At 39.2% G+C, this 18,521-nt stretch overlaps 1 protein-coding gene and 1 pseudogene across 2 annotated transcripts in view; both read right to left on the bottom strand.

Annotated features, from left to right (window-relative positions):
* IPO11 (importin 11) overlaps positions 1-18,521 on the bottom strand; it is a 215,820-nt gene that overhangs the window by 167,790 nt on the left and 29,509 nt on the right. For both annotated transcript variants that reach the window (NM_016338.5, NM_001134779.2), the window contains exons 3-5: positions 17,710-17,810; positions 10,794-10,866; positions 8,860-9,063 (exon numbers count right to left, since the gene is read on the bottom strand). In NM_016338.5, coding sequence (NP_057422.3) covers positions 8,860-9,063; positions 10,794-10,866; positions 17,710-17,810 — 378 coding nt within the window. The remainder of the gene's footprint in view (positions 1-8,859; positions 9,064-10,793; positions 10,867-17,709; positions 17,811-18,521) is intronic.
* On the bottom strand, positions 17,511-17,617 carry RNU6-661P (RNA, U6 small nuclear 661, pseudogene; annotated as a pseudogene).

Raw genomic sequence — 18,521 nt, 5'->3', positions numbered from 1 at the left:
TATTCAGTGAGACAATATGCAAATAAACTGTTTAATGAAACATGTTAGGTACTAGTTCATGAAACCCCCAAATACTTAACATTTTCTATTTCTAAACCAGAAGAAACAGTGCCACCTACTGACTGTTTAGTGGCTGTAACTGAGAAGCCCAAAGCCTTGACTCCAAAGTATCAAAAGCTAACCATTACACACTAAGTATTTTAGCATTTCAAATATTCTTAAACTTTTTTAGCCTCAGAATTGTTGTCTTCATAATTTTCCCTTAAGAAACATTAGCACCAAAAAAGTTTTACATCAAAGTTCATGTATTAAATAATTCATCACGAATACTGAGACAAAAAATATTCGCTATAGATGCCCAAATCTGCTTAGCCTGAACCTAATCAGCAAGGTATATTAATCAACAAATGTAGGAGGCAGAGCATCCTACAAGACAACTAATCTAGTTTTTTTTTAACAAGTCAATGGCATTTTTAAGGGGGAGAGGGAGGAAGTCAATACTATTCAAAATTAAAAGATTTGTAAGACATGTCAAATGCACCTTATTCATTTTTCTGGCTCAAGCCACTTGTAAAAATGTGTTTGAGAACAATCTAGAAAACTGGATAAAAGTATTAAATGATATTAAATTACTTTTTACTTCTTCAGGATGATAAAAGTTAAATACTTAAAAAATAAATCTATCTTTTCACAGATAAATGTTGAAGAATTTAGTTAAAAAAATATTTAAATTCCTTTAAAATAGCTCAAAAAAAGTCAGAAAGCAAAAACAGCAAAATGTTGACTATTAGATCTAGGTAATAGTTACATGGCAGTTAATATTTTTCTTTACTTTTCCATGTTTTTAAAATGTATTTTCAATTTTAAAAACACCTGTATTCTTAACAATAACTAAAAAGGTTATTTTAGTAATAATCCGTTTTTTTGTTAATAAGGCTTAAGTAGGCCAGGTGAGGTGGCTCAGGCCTGTAATCCCAGCACTTTGGGAGGCCAAGGCTGGCAGACCATAAGCTCAGGAGTTCGTGACCAGCCTGGCCAATATGGTGAAACCCCTGCCTCTACTAAAAATACAAAATTAACCAGGCATGGTGGCACACGCCTGTAGTCCCAGCTACTTGGGAGGCTGAGGCAGAAGAACTGCTTGAACCCGGGAGGCAGAGATTGCAGTGAACCAAGATTGCACCACTGCACTCCAGCCTGGGTAACAGAGCAAGACTCCGTCTCAAAAAAAAAAAGGCTTAAGTATAAATTCGCTTCCACTTACCTATGACATAAATATATATTAAATTACCAAAATGTATCAAGCCAGAAGCTTTAGTAGGTACAAGATCTATCTCAAAAGCAATTTCCAGCCAAACTGCTGATGTCTCTCAACTAATATTTATTTATTTATTTATTTATTTTTGAGACAGAGTCTCAAAAATGTCAATGAAGGAATGTCAATGAAGGACATTCCTAAAGACCTATAGCATTTGTTACTTACATGCTTTTTAAAGTAAAATCTAATTTTCATTTTGTTTTCAAACCTGCCAGTGATATAGCTCAGGCCCAGGAGGGACACTGTGGCCCATCTTTCAGTTCCCTAAGTCTCTTATCCTAGCAACAGCCTTACGCCTCTCTTCAGCCACTTAATGCCTACACACTGTTCTCATGTATCCAAAATATCAACTCAGTAAGGAGGAGGAACAAAAAAAAAAGAGTAAAACTACTCTACTCCCTGGGTGGGCCCTTACCTTTCCACAGCTCTATCTCAGGCATCCCGTGAAGTGATTGCATAGAGTAAGAATCCAAATATTTGTCAGATAAATAGATGGATGGGTAAGGTATAAATCAGCACTGTTTCAAAAGCAACTTTTAGATACTTGGGGGATAGTTTTGGAATTTTCATTCTTATTCCAGGCCCTTAACTAGGACTCAGACAAGAGGCTTTATGAATCAATACAGGAAGAGTACGCACCATGCTATATTCAAAATCTCTTCTGTTCAGCGCACAGCTCTTTTCTTTTGAACCAAGTCTGTCACCTTGAGTCTCCTCCACTAAAGTAACTTCCCACCAAAAAGTTCTTTTTCACCTTGATACTAATATAAGCCTAGACACACACATGCACAGGCTCAAATCCCCACAGGTTCACAGCACAAATGACCCTTTAAGAGAGTCACTCTTTAAATAATGCACTTAAAAAGCCAATATAGGCGGGGCGCAGTGGCTCATGCCTGTAATCCTAACACTTCGGGAGGTCAAGGCGGGCAGATCATTTGAGGTCAGAAGTTTGAGACCAGCCTGGCCAATGTGGCAAAACCCTGTCCCTACTAAAAGTACAAAAATTAGCCGGGCATAGCGGCATGCACCTGTAATCCCAGCTACTCAGGAGGCTGAGGCAGGACAATCACTTAAACCTGGCAGGTAGAAGTTGCAGTGAGCTGAGATTGCACCACTGCACTCCAGCCTGGGTGACACAGCAAGACTCAATCCCCAGGGGGAAAAAAAGCCACTATAAAATTACACAGAGCAAGAGATAAGAAACAGAATCAACATGGCATTTAATGTACAATTAAAATCAACAAAACAAAAGTGAAAATAAGATCTATTAAACCTATTTGATGACTTGCTCACAAAGGCATTTATCTTTTTTTTTTTTTTTTTTTGAGACAGAGTCTCGCTCTGTCGCCCAGGCTGGAGTGCAGTGGCGCGATCTCAGCTCACTGCAAGCTCCGCCTCCCCGATTCACGCCATTCTCCTGCCTCAGCCTCCCGAGTAGCTGGGACTACAGGCGCCCACCACCACGCCCAGCTAATTTTTGTATTTTTAGTAGAGACAGGGTTTCACCGTGTTAGCCAGGATGGTCTCGATCTCCTGACCTCGTGATCCGCCCTCCTCGGCCTCCCAAAGGGCTGGGATTACAGGCGTGAGCCACCGCGCCCGGCCGGCATTTATCTTTTAAATAAATTTTACAGCACTGTAAATATCTTACAGGCTGGAGCTACACCATGGAAGTGGCGCCTTGGCATTCTCAAATTTAGCATTCATAATTTCAATTATTTGGAAATTTCCCCTAAGGACCACATCATGAAGTCTTAAGCTGACAAGGAGTAAGTCTGCAAGTCTCTGCTATGAGGGTGAGTGATCTATCTTACACTAACCAACCCATCTCAAAGCAGCTATGCAGTTCTCCTTTGTGTAGAAAATATAGTAATTCATCACGATGACCTTCTGAAGTATTGTAACTTGACTTCACCTTGCCACACAGCATTCTTTTACCCTTACCATCCAAATAATTCATGTGTTGTTTAGCAGAAACACTATTATTATTATGTTTTAGACACATGGTCTAACTCAGTCTTCAAGGCTAGTACAATCATATATCACTACAGCCTCAAACTCCTAGGCTTAAGTGATCCTGCCGCCTCAGCCTCCCAAGTAACCAGAATGACATACATACACCACCATGCCTAATTTTTTTATTTTTTGTAGAGGTAGGATCTCACTATGTTGCCTAGACTAGTCTCAAACTCCTGGCCCCAAGGATCCTCCCACCTCAGCTTTCCAAAGTGCTGGGATTACAGGCATGAGTCACCATGCCCAGCCTAATGAGAACATTATTCATCATAAACCTTTCAGCTTTTAAAATTCAGCTAAGTTTTAGCCATGACCATAATAACAATGCAATATAGTTTTGTTTTCTTCCATGGCAGATATTTTCCCCCCCACCCCAGAGACAGAGTCTTGCTCTGTTGCCCAGGCTACAGTGCAGTGGCGTGATCTCGGCTCACTGCAACCTCCGCCTCCCAGGTTGAAGCAATTGTCCTGCCTCAGGCTCCCGAGTAGGTGGGATTACAGGCACCCGGCTAATTTTTGTATTTTTAGTACAGACGGGGTTTCACCATGTTGGCCAGGCTGGTCTTGAACTCCTGACCTCATGATCCACCCGCCTCAGCCTCCTAAAGTGCCAGGATTACAGGCGTGAGCCACCGCACCCGGCCCCACATCAGATTTTAATAGCTTACTAAATAGGGGGGTTGCGTTCTTCCACATGAACTGTCAAGAGACTACTAATTCTGTCTTCTGTCTCCCACAATATTGTACATATCTCTTGTACACAGTCAGCATTCAATAACTGTTGAGTGACTGTTAAGACAGAAGTAAAAATTTAAGATTAATCCCTAATATCCAGGCCGGGCATCGTCGTACGTGCCTGTGGTCCCAGCTACTTGGGAGGCTGAGGTGAGAGGATTGCTTGAGCCTAGGAGGTCAAGGTTGTAGACACCTATGTTTGTGCCACTGCACTATGCAGCATATACTTTTGTGTGTTACACATCGTGATTTGGGGACATTATTTACTTTAACATACTTCCAACTTCATTACAATTGCTCCCTGTACCTTAAATTTCCTTATTTTTAGTGACTTTGGATTTTAACAGTGGTTAATGTCCATTTTATTATATTTAGGTTTATATGTAAAGGCATACTGTTTTACAGAAAATGAATTCCTGGCCGAGCATGGTGGCTCACGCCTGTGATCCCAGCATTATGGGAGAGTGGATCACCTGAGGTCAGGAGTTGGAGACCAGCCTGGCCAACATGGCAAAACCCCATCTCTACCAAAAACACAAAAATTAGCCAGGCATGGTGACGTGCACCTGTAAACCCAGCTACTAGGAGGTGCTGAACCTGGGAGGTGGAGGTTACAGTGAGCCAAGGTCGTGCACCTGCACTCCAGTCTGGGCAACAAAGCGAGACCCCTTCTCAAAAAAAAGAAAATGAATTCCTGGCCAGGCACAGTGGTACACGCCTGTAATCCCAGCACTTTGGGAGGCTGAGACAGGTGGATCGCTTGAGGCTAGGAGTTTGAGGCCAACCTGGGCAACATGACGAAACCCTATCTCTACTAAAAATACAAAAATTAGCTGGGCATGGTGGCGCATGTCTGTAATCCTAGCTACTCAGGAGGCTAAGGAACAAGAATTGCTTGAAGCTAGGAAGCAAAGGTTGTAGTGAGCCAAGACAGCACCTCTCTCTCTCTCAAAAAAAAAAAAGAATTCCTTTTTGTGTCAAATCAAGCTCAATTTTGTTACTGCAAAACAATTTGCTCTCAACTGCTGATTTCGTAATTTGTCACCCCTCAAAAGAACTTATTTTAACACAGAGGAGGAAAGGTTATAACAATTGTTGAGGCACACTGAGCCGCAGGTAGCAATTTTAAGTGTACCCTGTGCACTACACTTTGCTATAGCAACCAGCTCAACCATGAGCTTAATATTTTTTTCTTCTTTTGAGACACTCTCTCTCTGTCGTCTAGGCTGGAGTATAGTGGCGCAATCTCGGTTCACTGCAGCCTCCGCCTCCTGGGTTCAACTGATTCTCCTGCCTCAGCCTCCTGAGTAGCTGGGATTACAGGCGTGCGCCACCATGCCCAGCTAATTTTTTTTGTATTTTTAGTACAGACAGGGTTTCACCATGTTGCCCAGGCTGGTCTCGAACTCCCAACCTCAGGTGATCTGCCCACCACGGCCTCCCAGTGCTGGGACTACAGGCGTGAGCCCAGCCCTTACATTTTTTTATGTAGGAAACTAATTTGGTACTTGAGGACCATCTTTGCATCTTCCTTTATTATTAAAAGGAAGATTTTCCATGCTTCAGATTACCAAAATAATAGGCACAGCTGTATTAACCAGCAAAATTGCTCTTTATAATGATGTCTTCCCACAAATGCTACCTTCAATTAACTACACATCTTGTACCTCAACCGCATTAGACAGGATACCCTTCCTAGTCCCTACTTTAGTCCCTATCTCCAGGTTCAGCTGCTCCATTCCAAAATAAAAAGTGCTAATCTGAATTTTTTCCAGGTATCTCTAGCTCTGACTAATCTCTCAAAAATCCTGCTTTTGGAAGTTTTGCCCTATATCACTCTGAAATCCAGCAGGCATCTAATAAGAATAAGTCTCCTGTTCTATTGTTCATTCACTTAACAGTTATTGAGCATCAATCATTATGTGTACTCTTTCAGACCATGCAGTAGGATGACAGCAATAAAAGCTACACTGTAGTGAATCTGAGAAAAATAAGTCGACAATTACAAGTCAGCACAATGTGGTAACTACTACACTGAAAGTAACTACAAGATGCTAATTAAGCATATACTTCTTTCTATATGGAGAAGAACTAGCCTCATACTACAAAAAAAAACAAGCAAGAAGCTAACTCACACAAGCTATCCAGCTTAAGGCCCTGATTATCTGTACAATCTGTGGAGATTGCCTCGACTAAATATAAAGTATACCTGTAAGGCAACATATTAGAGAGTGAACTTTGATAAAGTTGAAATAGGAATTAAAACTTCTATAGACTGGTAGCCTTTAATAACAGTTAACTGTAACCAAGAATCTTCTAGACAATTGATTTTGAGACTCTCCCCAACAAAAAAGTAAGTCCTAGAAGTGAAGGGTTTGAGGTGAGGACAAAACAGAGGAAAAGGAAAGACAATTTCACAGAAAGACTTGAGTGAGTGAACGGTCCATTTCCTTAGTCCTCGCTAGAAATCAAGCAAAAGTGAAAAGGATTTGAAAAACAACCTTAGACTATCAAAAATAATTTCTCTTACATACAATATCCTAGGATGAACATAAGACTGGCTATTTATTTATTTATTTTTTATTTGAGATGGAGTCTCGCTCTGTCACCCAGGCTGGAGTGCAGTGGTGCAATCTCGGCTCACTGCAAGCTCCACCTCCTAGGTTCACGTCATTCTCCTGCCTCAGCCTCCTGAGTAGCTGGGACTACAGGCGCGTGCCACCACGCCCGGCTATTTTTTTTTTGTATTTTTAGTAGAGATAGGGTTTCACCATTAGCCAGGATGGTCTCGATCTCCTGACCTCATGATCCACTCGCCTCAGCCTCCCAAAGTGCTGGGATTACAGGCATGAGCCACCGCACCCAGCCAAGACTGGCTATTTAAACCCATTGAGTTAAAAATGAAAAGGACACAATGTGGTGTGACGTAAACTTTGGTGTATATAAAAATTCTATGGGGAGCTTGTTAAAAATGCAAATTGCCAAGCCATAATCCTCAAAGTGAGGATTCCAAAGGTGTGGTTCAGAAACCTCTCAGTCTGTGTATAACAGATTGAAAACGAATGTTTTTGACATGGAAGACAGCTCAAGGTTATACACTGCTTTTCCCACCCCCTTCCCTAGTCCATACTCAAACAAGAGGCTCTACACTGTGAGCCCAAGACAAAATTGAGTCCTCAGAACAAAAAGTTGGCCAATTCTTTGTGAAAGAATAAAGGCAACATAAAAAGACTAGGACAAGTATTTTCTTCTAGAACTCTCTCTTCACTTGGCTCCTTCCATTACATCCCTTCTCTTCCACATGCTTCATATTCTTCACTGACTCCTTTCCACATTATAGGACTAGGCTATCTCTTTCTTTAAGAATGAAGCATCTCTAATCATGGATGGTGAAGTAGAGACCAGAGCAAAAGTCAGAAGGAGGTCTAGGAAAAGCTGCTTAAGACCACATGCTAAGTTCAAAAGTAAAAGGAACTCTGGAAGCTCCCAAGGAAAAGCCCGCTAATTTAGGGAAAGGCATGAGCAATATTTAAAGTACATTTAGAGAAGAAAAAGAAAGAAGAAAAATCTTTCTACAAAACTACAAAACACCATGTCACCCTCTTCTTTTTTGGAGGGCAGCATGATTCAGAACAGACCTGAAATAGTTTCTTGAGCCCTATCATGTGACCGTATAATAAGACTTAAAATTATATACCTTTAATTTCTCTACAATTACAGAAGGTAACAAAGAACACTGTTAAAAACACTTTAAAGCATGGGTAACATAGTGAGACTTCATCTCTAAAAAAAATTAAAAAACCATCTGGGCATGGTGGCATGTACCTGTAGTCCTAGCTACTCGTGAGGCTGAGGTAGGAGGATGGTTTGAGCCAAGGAGGTCAAGGCTGTAGTGAGCTATGATCATGCCACTGTACTACACCCTGGGTGACAGAACAAAACCCCGTCTCAAAATGCGTGCACACACACACACACACACACACACACACACACACACCCCACCAAAAACAGAACAAAACCCTGTCTCAAAACATACACACACACACACACACACACACGAACCCAAAACCAAAAAAAAGGTGCAAAAAACCTGATAAAAGGCTGTCACTCCCTACTTACGTCAAACTCCTTCCTATATCTGCCCTACATCCTTCAGTTACCCAGACGTATCAATTCTCCTCCTAAATGTCAACTCTATGCCCACCTAATTGTTCCCTTTACTACAGCTTCATTCAAGAGACCTATCATCTCATCCGAACTACTTCCTTTGCCTCAAACTGACCTCCTTGCCTTCAGAGTGTATCCAACAACCAATCCTCCTCACTGGCAACTAAGTGATCTTTTTATTCATATCACTGCCCAGCTTAAAATGAGAAAGAATTAAGTCTTTCAAAAAACATCAACAGAAGTAAAACTATAGTCATTTTTTTTTACAAGTAGCACAATTTTCTTTTTTTATTTTATTTTATTTTTTTTGAGACGGAGTCTCGCCCTGTCGCCCAGGCTGGAGTGCAGTGACACAATCACGGCTCATTGCAACCTCCACCTCCTGGGTTCAAGTGATCGTTCTGCTTCAGCCTCCTGAGTAGCTGGAACCACAGGCGTGTGCCACCACGCCCGGCTAATTTTTGTAGTTTTTAGTAGAGATGGGGTTTCACCATATTGGCCAGGCCTGACCTCGTGATCCACCCGCCTCGGCCTCCCAAAGTGCTGAGATTACAGGCATAAGCCACCACGCCCGGCCGCACAATTTTCATAATCAAATTTAACTATGTGAAATCACTTACATCATAAAATAGTTTTCTATCAGCAGCAAGTCGTTTAGATGCCAGTGTCTTGGTAACATGATAGAAGGTAAGTAATGCTCTGTGCTGTCGAAGATCATCCTGGACTTTAACAGACTCTATAAGAGTGGGAATTAGTTCAGGCCACTGTCTGGGACAATCCAATCTAGCAACTTTTGCAATGAGCACTGCAATCTGAGTTGCAATCTGAAAGGAAAAAATTAAACAAATGGAATCAAGGCAATAGATAAGGAATGCATTCACGGTGACAAATCACCTTGTTAATTATACACTTGACAAAAATGAATACGATTTCACTGAATGACTGCTTAAACAGTGGTTCTCAAAGTGTGGCCCATGGACCCCTGGTAGAGCTAGGACCCTTTCTGGGACCTATGAGGTCCTCCTTTACCCAATTATCTGTCAGTGTGAAACGAGGTTTTCTTCATATAATGTCCACCATGTATCACAACAGAGTAAATGAAGAAGCAGATATGAAAACCTAGATGTCTTCCCTTAAATAGCCAGACCCTAAAAATGCAAGCCAATGCCACCTTTCTCACTAATTTTTATTGTTTTGGAAATAGCTACTATTGCTCATTTCCAAAACTGCTATGTTGATGAGTATTTTATTTTTTACACGAATATTTTTAAGTTTCTCAGTTTTAATTTATAATACAGTAAATATCAACAGATATAACTCTTTAAGGTCTTCAATTTTAGCAGTATAACGAGATCCTGTGACCACAAAGTTTAGGAATCCTGACCTAAAAGTAGAAAGAAACGCCAAATATTGGGCATTTAAATAATGATATTTCTACATATCAGTGTTTCCCAAATGCTAGCTGAAAGAACAATTAGGCAGTTGTTCACTGCTCAGTAACACAAACCCCTCCCTAATCACCTCCTGCCCCATTAAAGGTAACTCCGTTTTTCTCCATTATGCTTCAGCTCCTTTGTCAAGAAAGAGCAAAGAACAGAGATCATTTAAACAGGTCAAAATAAAATTGTATTAGAAATACTGCCAAATTGTGCTTTAATAGCTCAATTTAAAAAATCAAGCATAACCAAGTATTATCTTGAAAAAACTTAAGAATTATTGTACCTATAAGTAAAACTTATTTTATTCTTAGAAGACCTCAATATAAAAAAAAAGATAAAGCTGTACATAATTTACTATCTAGCTGCCACAGAATAGTAGGAATTGAAAATGTGATGGATGCAACCAATAGAAAAAAACCTGAAGCCATTCTGAGTTGTTTTTTTTTTTTTTAAATGGTGGGGAAGTTAATCTAAAAATTATAATCATTAAAATTAATTCTTGTGCAGTAAGACTACAAATATAACCATGTATCACTTAACAACAGAGATATGTTCTGAGAAATGTGTCACTGGGCAATTCTGTGGTTGTGTGAATATCACAGAATGTGTAATAGTTGTATATGCTATACTTTTGTGAGACTAGCAGCAGTGCAATAGGTTTGTTTACACCAACATCACCACAAACTAATGAGTAATATATTCATTGCACTACAATATTAGGACAGCTATGATGTCAATGGGTGAGAACTTTTCAGTTCCATTATAACCCTATGGGACCACGATTATACATGCAGTCCACTGTTGTCCAAAATAACATTAGGCATCACGTGACTATATAGAGAGATTTGCTTTAAATACAGGCTCATAAAATGAGAAAGCTGAAAAGCATACAAATATACCTTAAAATGACTTCTGGGCTTTAAATAATAACCAAATCTAATCAAAACTATTCAACGCTACAAATAGATCTCAAAATTTAAAAATAGATAAAAACATCACAAATGAAAATAGTGTAATAGTGATATTTTTATTTTTCATTTTAATGCCAGAATATAAAATTAGTTTGGAAAAGCAGTACAAATAAAAAGAAAAATTAGCATTCATTTCTCACTAACCTGGTTTATTGGTTCATTGAAGTTGGTGATGAGCCCTGCACGCAGAGTAGTTTTCTCCTCCTCTGAGAGAGCACTGTAAAAAAAAAAAAGTATTGATTATGCAAAAGAATGCCACCTAATAATAAATGTAGGTAAGCATTACTGTAAATTTTAATAAAAAGCCTTTCAAACATGTGTCTCTGATTGGTTTTTGTAAATAAAAAGGATTATTTCCATTACTTGTATATTGGCACTACTGTGAACTTTAACAATAAAAAGTTTTCTAAACAACTGTCCCTAATTGGTTCTGGTAAATGAATAAGATTATTTCTATTACTTGTACACTGGCACATCAGATAAGTCGGAAGCATAAAATTCCTTCACAATTGAATAAATGGGAAGCACCACACAGTAAGCAAGAGGAAATAAGACAAATCCAGGTAATTAATATATTTGATGTTCACTTTTATTGATGTAAAAATAGTTGCCTACGAAAAAAAAAAACACAGCTAAAAAAAAATCTATACAAGTAAATATTGCCACTCCATTGGCTTCTTTCATAAAATCTGTGTGAGATTATTCTATGGGGCAAGAGATTCAGAATCAGGGAATATCTGGGATGGGTGACTTATCAGAAATCAACTAGCTTAAATCTTTCATTTTAAACATCTCCGAAAAGAATAAACACAATACTAATAATTTTGACTGCGTATGAGAAAGGAAAATAGAAAGCTACTGGACAGGAAAGGAGAACACTACTGTATAAGACTGTATACATGTTGAATACATACGTATGAATGTGTTGTTAATTTTAAAATTAAGGCCAGGCACAGTGGCTCAGGCCTGTAATACCAGCACTTTGGGGAGGCCAATGCAGAAGGATCCTATGAGCCCAAGAGGTCAAGGCTGCAGTGAGCTATGATTGCACCACTGCACTCCAGCCTGAGCAACAGAACAAGTCCTTGTCTCTTAAATATTTTTTTAAATAGTAAACGTACATTAAATTTTAATGCCTCATTTTAAGGTTTTTCATTCTGGGTATCAGAATTAAATTAATTAAATTAAATTAAAGCACACAACAACAATAGCATTAAAGACAAGAGGGATTACACAGAATTAACGTATTACTACAAGGTTCTGGCATTAACTAGAAAAAGTAAAGGGCCAGCCGTCGTGGCTCATGCCTGTAATCCCAATCCTTTGGGAGGCTGAGATAGAAGGACTGCTTGGGGCCAGGAGTTCAAGATAAGCCTGGGCAACATAGCAAGATCCCATCTCTACAAAAAAGTAGAACTAAAAAACATTAGCAGAACATGGTGGCATACACCTGTAGTCTGAGGTACTCAGGAGGCTGAGACAGGAGGATTTCTTGAGCCCAGCAGTTCGAGGCTGCAGTGAGTTATGATTGTGCCACTGCATTCCAGCCTGGGCAACGGAGCAAGACCCTGTCTCTAAAAACAAAACAAAACAAAGTTTTCTTAAAAAAAGTAAAGTACTAATACAAGAATATCAAGGGTCCATGTTATAATCACTTAAGTAATGAAAACATACTAAACATTTTAGAGTAAAACTGAGTAATAAAAAATGTCTTGAATATAGTTGTCCTCCCTTACTTTCCATGGTTTCAGTAATCTACCATCAATGAAGCAGATTCAATGAATGGAATGGAAAATTCACAGGTTTTGAATAGCGTAGCATCCTGAATAGCATGATGAAATCTCATGCTGTCCTGCCCTGTCTGGCCTGGGACATGAATTATTCCTTTGTCAAGCACACCCATGCTGTACATGCTACCTGCCCACTAGACATCTAGTAGCTATCTTGTTATCAGACTGAAAAAAAAAACATACTAAATAAAGGACTCAGGACTATCTGCAGTTTCAGGCATCCACTGGGAGTCTTGGAACCTATCACCTGCAGATAAGAAGAAACTACTGTAATCCAAAGTAAAGCAAGAAAGAAAAAAAAGGGGACAAATAACAAGACACACAGAAAACAAAGTGTGAGGCTGGACACAGTAGCTCACGCCTGTAATCCCTGCACTCTGGGAGGCCGAGGCAGGAAGATCACTTGAGGCCAGGAGTTCAATACCAGCCTGGACAACATGGCAAAACCCTGTCTCTACTAAAAATACAAAATTTAGCTGGGCGTGGTGACTGTAATACCAGCACTTTGGGAGGCCAAGAGAGTTGGACTGCTTGAGCTCAGGAGTTCGAGACCAGTCTGATCAACATGGCGAAACCCTGTCTCTACCAAAAAATACAAAAATTAGCCAGGCATGGTGGCACGCACCTGTGGTCCCAGCTACTCCAGAGGCTGCAGTGGGAGGATCACTGGAGCCTGAGAAGTCGAGGTTGCAGTGAGCCATGATGGCACCACTGCACTCCAGCCTGGGTGACAGAGCAAGACCCTGTCTCAAAAAAAAAAAAGAATAAAAAAACAAGGGTACAATCATAATGCAATGGAGAAAGAACACGTCCCTACTTCACATAAGCACCTTGTACAAGAATAAATTCCAGAAAGATCATACACCTAAAATAGAAAAGGAAAACAAAGCTTTCAGTAGAAAACAGAGTATTTTCATGACCACAGGTTGAGCAAAAATTTCATAAATAGGCTGGGGGCACTGGCTCACGCCTGTAAATCCCAGCATTTTGGAAGGCCAAGGTGGGAGGGTCACTTGCAGTCAGGAGTTCAAGACTAGCCTGGGCAACATAGCAAGACCCCATCTCTACAAAAAAAATTTAAAAATTAGCCACTGGCGGCACACACATGTAGTCACAGCTACTCAGGAGGCTGAGGCAGAAGGGCTGCTTGAGCCCAGGAGTTAGAGGTTACACTGAGCTATGATTGCATCACTGCACTCTAGCCTGGGCAACAGAACAAAACCCTGTCTTCTTAAAAAAAAATATATATATATAATTATGAACCAAAAGAAATAATCATAGAAAGGTAATTAAATTAAACTTCATTAAAATTAAGGGCTTCTGTTCATCAAAAGACATCATGAAGAAAGTGAAAGGCAAGTCACAAAGTTGATTTTTTTTTTTTTTGCAGTCAGAGTCTCGCTCTGTTGCCCAGGCTGGAGTACAGTGGCATGATCTCAGCTCACTGCAACCTCTGCCTCCCAGGTTCGAGATTCTCCTGCCTCAGCCTGTTCAGTAGCTGGGAGTACAGGCTTACACTACCATGTCCAGCTAGTTTTTGTATTTTTAGTAGAGATGGAGTGTCATCATGTTGGCCAGGCTGGTCTCGAACTCCTGACCTCAGGCGACCTGCCCGCCTCGGCCTCCCAAGGTGCTGGGATTACAGGCATGAGCCACTGCACCTGGCCTAGGAGAAGATATTTGTAATACGTATATTTGACAAAGGACTCGTATCCAAAATAAAAGTCTCATAAATCAATAAGATAACCCAATTTTTTTAAATGTGCAAATAACAGACCCTTCACAATAGAGGATATCCCAATGACCAATAAGTACATTAAAAAGTACTCATCATTCATAAAGAAAATGCAAACTAAAATTACTAAGCTCACCAGAATGACTAAAATGAAAGATCAGACCAAGTGCTGATAAGAATGCAGAGCAAATACAAACACTCGTATGTTGCTGTGGAAGTGCAACCTCGTACAACCAGCCTAGAAAATTAATTAACAATATCTACTAAAGTTGAACACACATGTGACTATAAATAGTAATAAAATGCACATGTGTGTAAAAGTTTCTGGAGTGCTATAAGTGTTCTATCTAGTTCCAACTGGCAGTTACACAGGTGTCTTTGCATTATAAACATTCAAACTACACCCTTCATTTGTGTACTGTTTTAAAGTCTGTTATACATTACACTTCAAAGAAAGTATTTTAAAACCTTAATGACTTACTCAAAGTTAATAAACAAATGAGAAAACAAGATTAAGATAAACATTCAGGTCATTAAAAATGATCTCTCTAATCCTTTTATGACTATGCTATACTTTCCAACTTTAATAGTTCCCTTCTACTATCAAACCCCTGACATAATGTGTTCTCCTACAATATTTTGCTTTAAACTTGTAATTGAACTTTTCTTTTATGCCAAGGAGCCAGGTTTAGCAGTTTGCATAACTCTAACTACAATAAAAGTGTACAATGACTATCTATCAAAATAGATTATGCAAAAAAAATACAGATGATACTGACTTACGATGGGGTTACCACCTGAAAAACCCACAGTAAATACAAAATGTTGTAAGTCAAAAATTTATTTAATATATCTAACCTACTGAACATCATTATCTTAGCCTAACTTACCTCAAACATGCTCAGAACACTTACATTTGCCTACTGCTGGGCAAAAGCATCCAACACAAAGCCTATTTTATAATAAAGTAATAAATATCTCATGTTAATTTATTGAACACTGTACTGAAAATGAAAAATACTGTATTGAAAGTGAAAAATAGAATGGTTGTATGGGCACTTGAAGTACAGTTTCTACTGAATACATATATATTGTTTTCGCATCATAGTGAAGTAAAAAAAAAATCATCAAATCAAACAACCATAAGTCAGGGATTGTATACATATTAAAGAAACAAGCCATTAACCTGAAGAAAATTCACATCTTTAACAATTCTCTAATAATAATTAACATTCCACCTTTAATTTTATGCATGTTATCATTAGATGAATTCAAACTATATGTCAAGCAGAAATTGGACAGTATTTAATTAATTAGGACCCAGATACACTGCAATGTATATGGTAATGGTAACAAGCTTGTTAGTTAATTCTCATTCTGTGAAAATGGTTAAGAGTAGGATCTATATAAAATGAAACTGATAAGTACAGAAACAAGCATCTTTTTAAAAAGTCTTAAGTTTATAAGTTCAATTACTAAACTGCCACTCGTGCTCCAGCATCCTCTCCTTTCCAGCTTTTATTTCAATATATACTAAAAGAGACAGCTTGGGATTTAACTACCTAATATTGTATAAATTATCTCATAACTTTTTAAATTTAAGCTAAATTCTAGGTTCTAATTCATTATGTAAAAGTACAACATGAAATATTTAATAATTTACTTTCCCTTCAAAACAATCATTTATATATATATTTATATGTATGTTTATATATATATACATATATATATGTCTCTCTCTCTCTCTTTTGAGACATAGTCTCACTGTGTCGCCCAGGCTGGAGTGCAGTGGCACGTTCTTGGCTCACGGCAACCTCTACCTCCCAGGTTCAAGTGATTCTCCTGTGTCACCCTCCCCAGCAACTGGGATTACAGGCATCCGCCACCACACCTGGCTAATTTTTGTATTTTTAGAAGAGGTGGGGTTTCGCCATGTTGGGCAGGCTGGTCTCGAACTCCTGACCCCAGGTGATCCTCGACCTCCCAAAGTGCTGGGATTACAGGTGTGAGCCACCGTGCCCAGCCAAGACAAGCATTTATAATTGTATCCTTTATATAACCACTAAAACAAAATGAATTTTAGCAGACACGTAAAATTCAATTGGACAAAGCAGTAGAAAAGTGCTGCTGGGCCATTGCCTATAAACAAATAATGCACATTTTCTCATCACTACTTACCATATTTCTCTCCAAAATTATGAATTAATCCTATGTAAAAAATTACTCCGGCCGGGCACAGTGGCTCACACCTGCAATCCCAGCACTTTGGGAGGCCAAGGCGGGCGGATCACCAGGTCAGGAGATCGAGACCATCCTGGCTAACACAGTGAAACCCTGGCTCTACTAAAAACACAAAAAATCAGCGGGGCAAGATGGCAAGCACCTGTAGTCCCAGCTACTCGGGAGGCTGAGGCAGAATGGCCTGAACCCGTGAGGCAGAGCTTGCAGTAGGCCGAGATCATGCCATTGCACTCCAGCCTGGGCAACAGAGCGAGACTCCGTCTCAAAAAAAAAAAAAAAAGAAAAAGACATGTCTGCTTTAAACCGTAATATAGTATCCCAAGTGCAGCCTGAAAATATTCTTGTTGTTTCCAATATTATTCAAGGACATGTTTTATATGCATTTTGAAGTATTCAGACTGAGAAAAAAGGTCTTACGGCTTTTAAGAATTTAGAGAGCTATAGTGCCATCTACTGGAAAACACAGATTATGTTACTTCTTAAGCAAAATTCACTACCATATTTTCTATCAAACAAATCCCAGGGTCATGTCTACAATGATTTTGCATTGATTATATAACATGTAAAATTAACTACTAAATCTGTTAACCACGTACATAGCAGTTATAACTGAATACTAATGTGATTACAAATGTATACTACTCCATTCCCACCATAGAGAAAGAATGCATAAGACTCAGAAATTAACACCTAGCTGGTTCAGAGTTGACCTGGGATTTCCTTCTGAATGGCTTTTTTTTTCTTCCAAATCCTAACCTTATATTTCTCTTTCTTTTTTCTTGAGATGGGGTCTCTCCATGTCGCCCAGGATGATCTCAAACTCCTGTGCTCAAGCAATCCTCCTGCCTCAGCCTTTTAAGTGGGTACGACTAAAACAGAGGGCTTTTGTTCAACATGACTGACTCAGCATGATCCTTGCAAGCAGAGGGCCAACATCACACGCACACGCACACACGCACACACACACACACACACACACACACACACACACACACTCAAATGGAAAACCATGAAGAAAACAATAATATAGCTGTTGATTTGTCATTACCTAAATAGAACACTTATTCAGTAGTAAACACTTTTTTTGCATTTTTTTTAAATATCAAACACTTCACAAATCTCCACATCATCCTTGCACAGAGACCATGCTAATCGTCTCTGTATTGCTCCAATTTTAGTATATGTGCTGCAGAAGTAAGCGCTAACACATCCTTTTACATAAACAAGTATTCTTACACCTTCCTGAATTTGGGAAGGATTATACTCAAGGAATAGGGGAAGTGATGGAACTTACTGAGGTGCTACACGTCTCCAGTAGCGATCAATTCCATGTTTAAAATACAGTACAGCAAGCCACCTTACATTTATATCCAAAGTGTGGTTGGTGAAAATATTCTATAAATAAAAAACATAATATTAGAATTAGCATGGAATAAGTAAAAAGTATAATTAATGTACCCACAATAAAGTATGGACAGATCTTTGTTTTGTTTTGTTTTGTTTTGTTTTGTTTTTGAGACAGTTTCACTCTCGTCGCCCAGGCTGGAGTGCAATGACACGATTTCGGCTCACTGCAACCTCCGCCTCCCAGGTTCAAGAGATTCTCCTGCCTCAGCCTCCCAAGTAGCTGGGGTTACAGGTGCCTGCCACCAAGCCCAGCTAATTTTTTGTATTTTTTTTTTGTAGAGACAGGGTTTCACCATGCTGGCCAGGCTGGTCTCGACCTCTTGACCTCAGGTGATCCATTCGCCTTGGCCTCCCAAAGTGCTGGGATTACAGGCATGAGCCACCACACCCAGCCTGGACAGATCTTTTAATTAAATTTGTTTATATTCTATCACTACATATATCATATCGATATTTATGAAGTATATATAGTTCTACAATTCATATAAGAAGTACACCTGCTCAGTTGTATGTTAACTGTTCAAAGCTGAGTAACACACATGTAGAGTCATTGTACTATTCTGCTTTAAGGTGTGTTTGAAAATTCCCCTAGTAAAAAAATTAAATTCAGAAACAAGCAAACCTAATTATTTTTCAAATGAATACCATAAGCCCATACATATTCAATAAAATATATAACTTCCAAATTAGAAAAAGTAG

This window comes from Homo sapiens, chromosome 5, assembly GCF_000001405.40.
Source record: "Homo sapiens chromosome 5, GRCh38.p14 Primary Assembly".
In the NCBI taxonomy this organism is placed as follows: domain Eukaryota; kingdom Metazoa; phylum Chordata; class Mammalia; order Primates; family Hominidae; genus Homo; species Homo sapiens.
The sequence above is the reverse complement of the archived record's forward strand: the minus strand, read 5'-3'. Positions and strand labels throughout refer to the sequence as shown.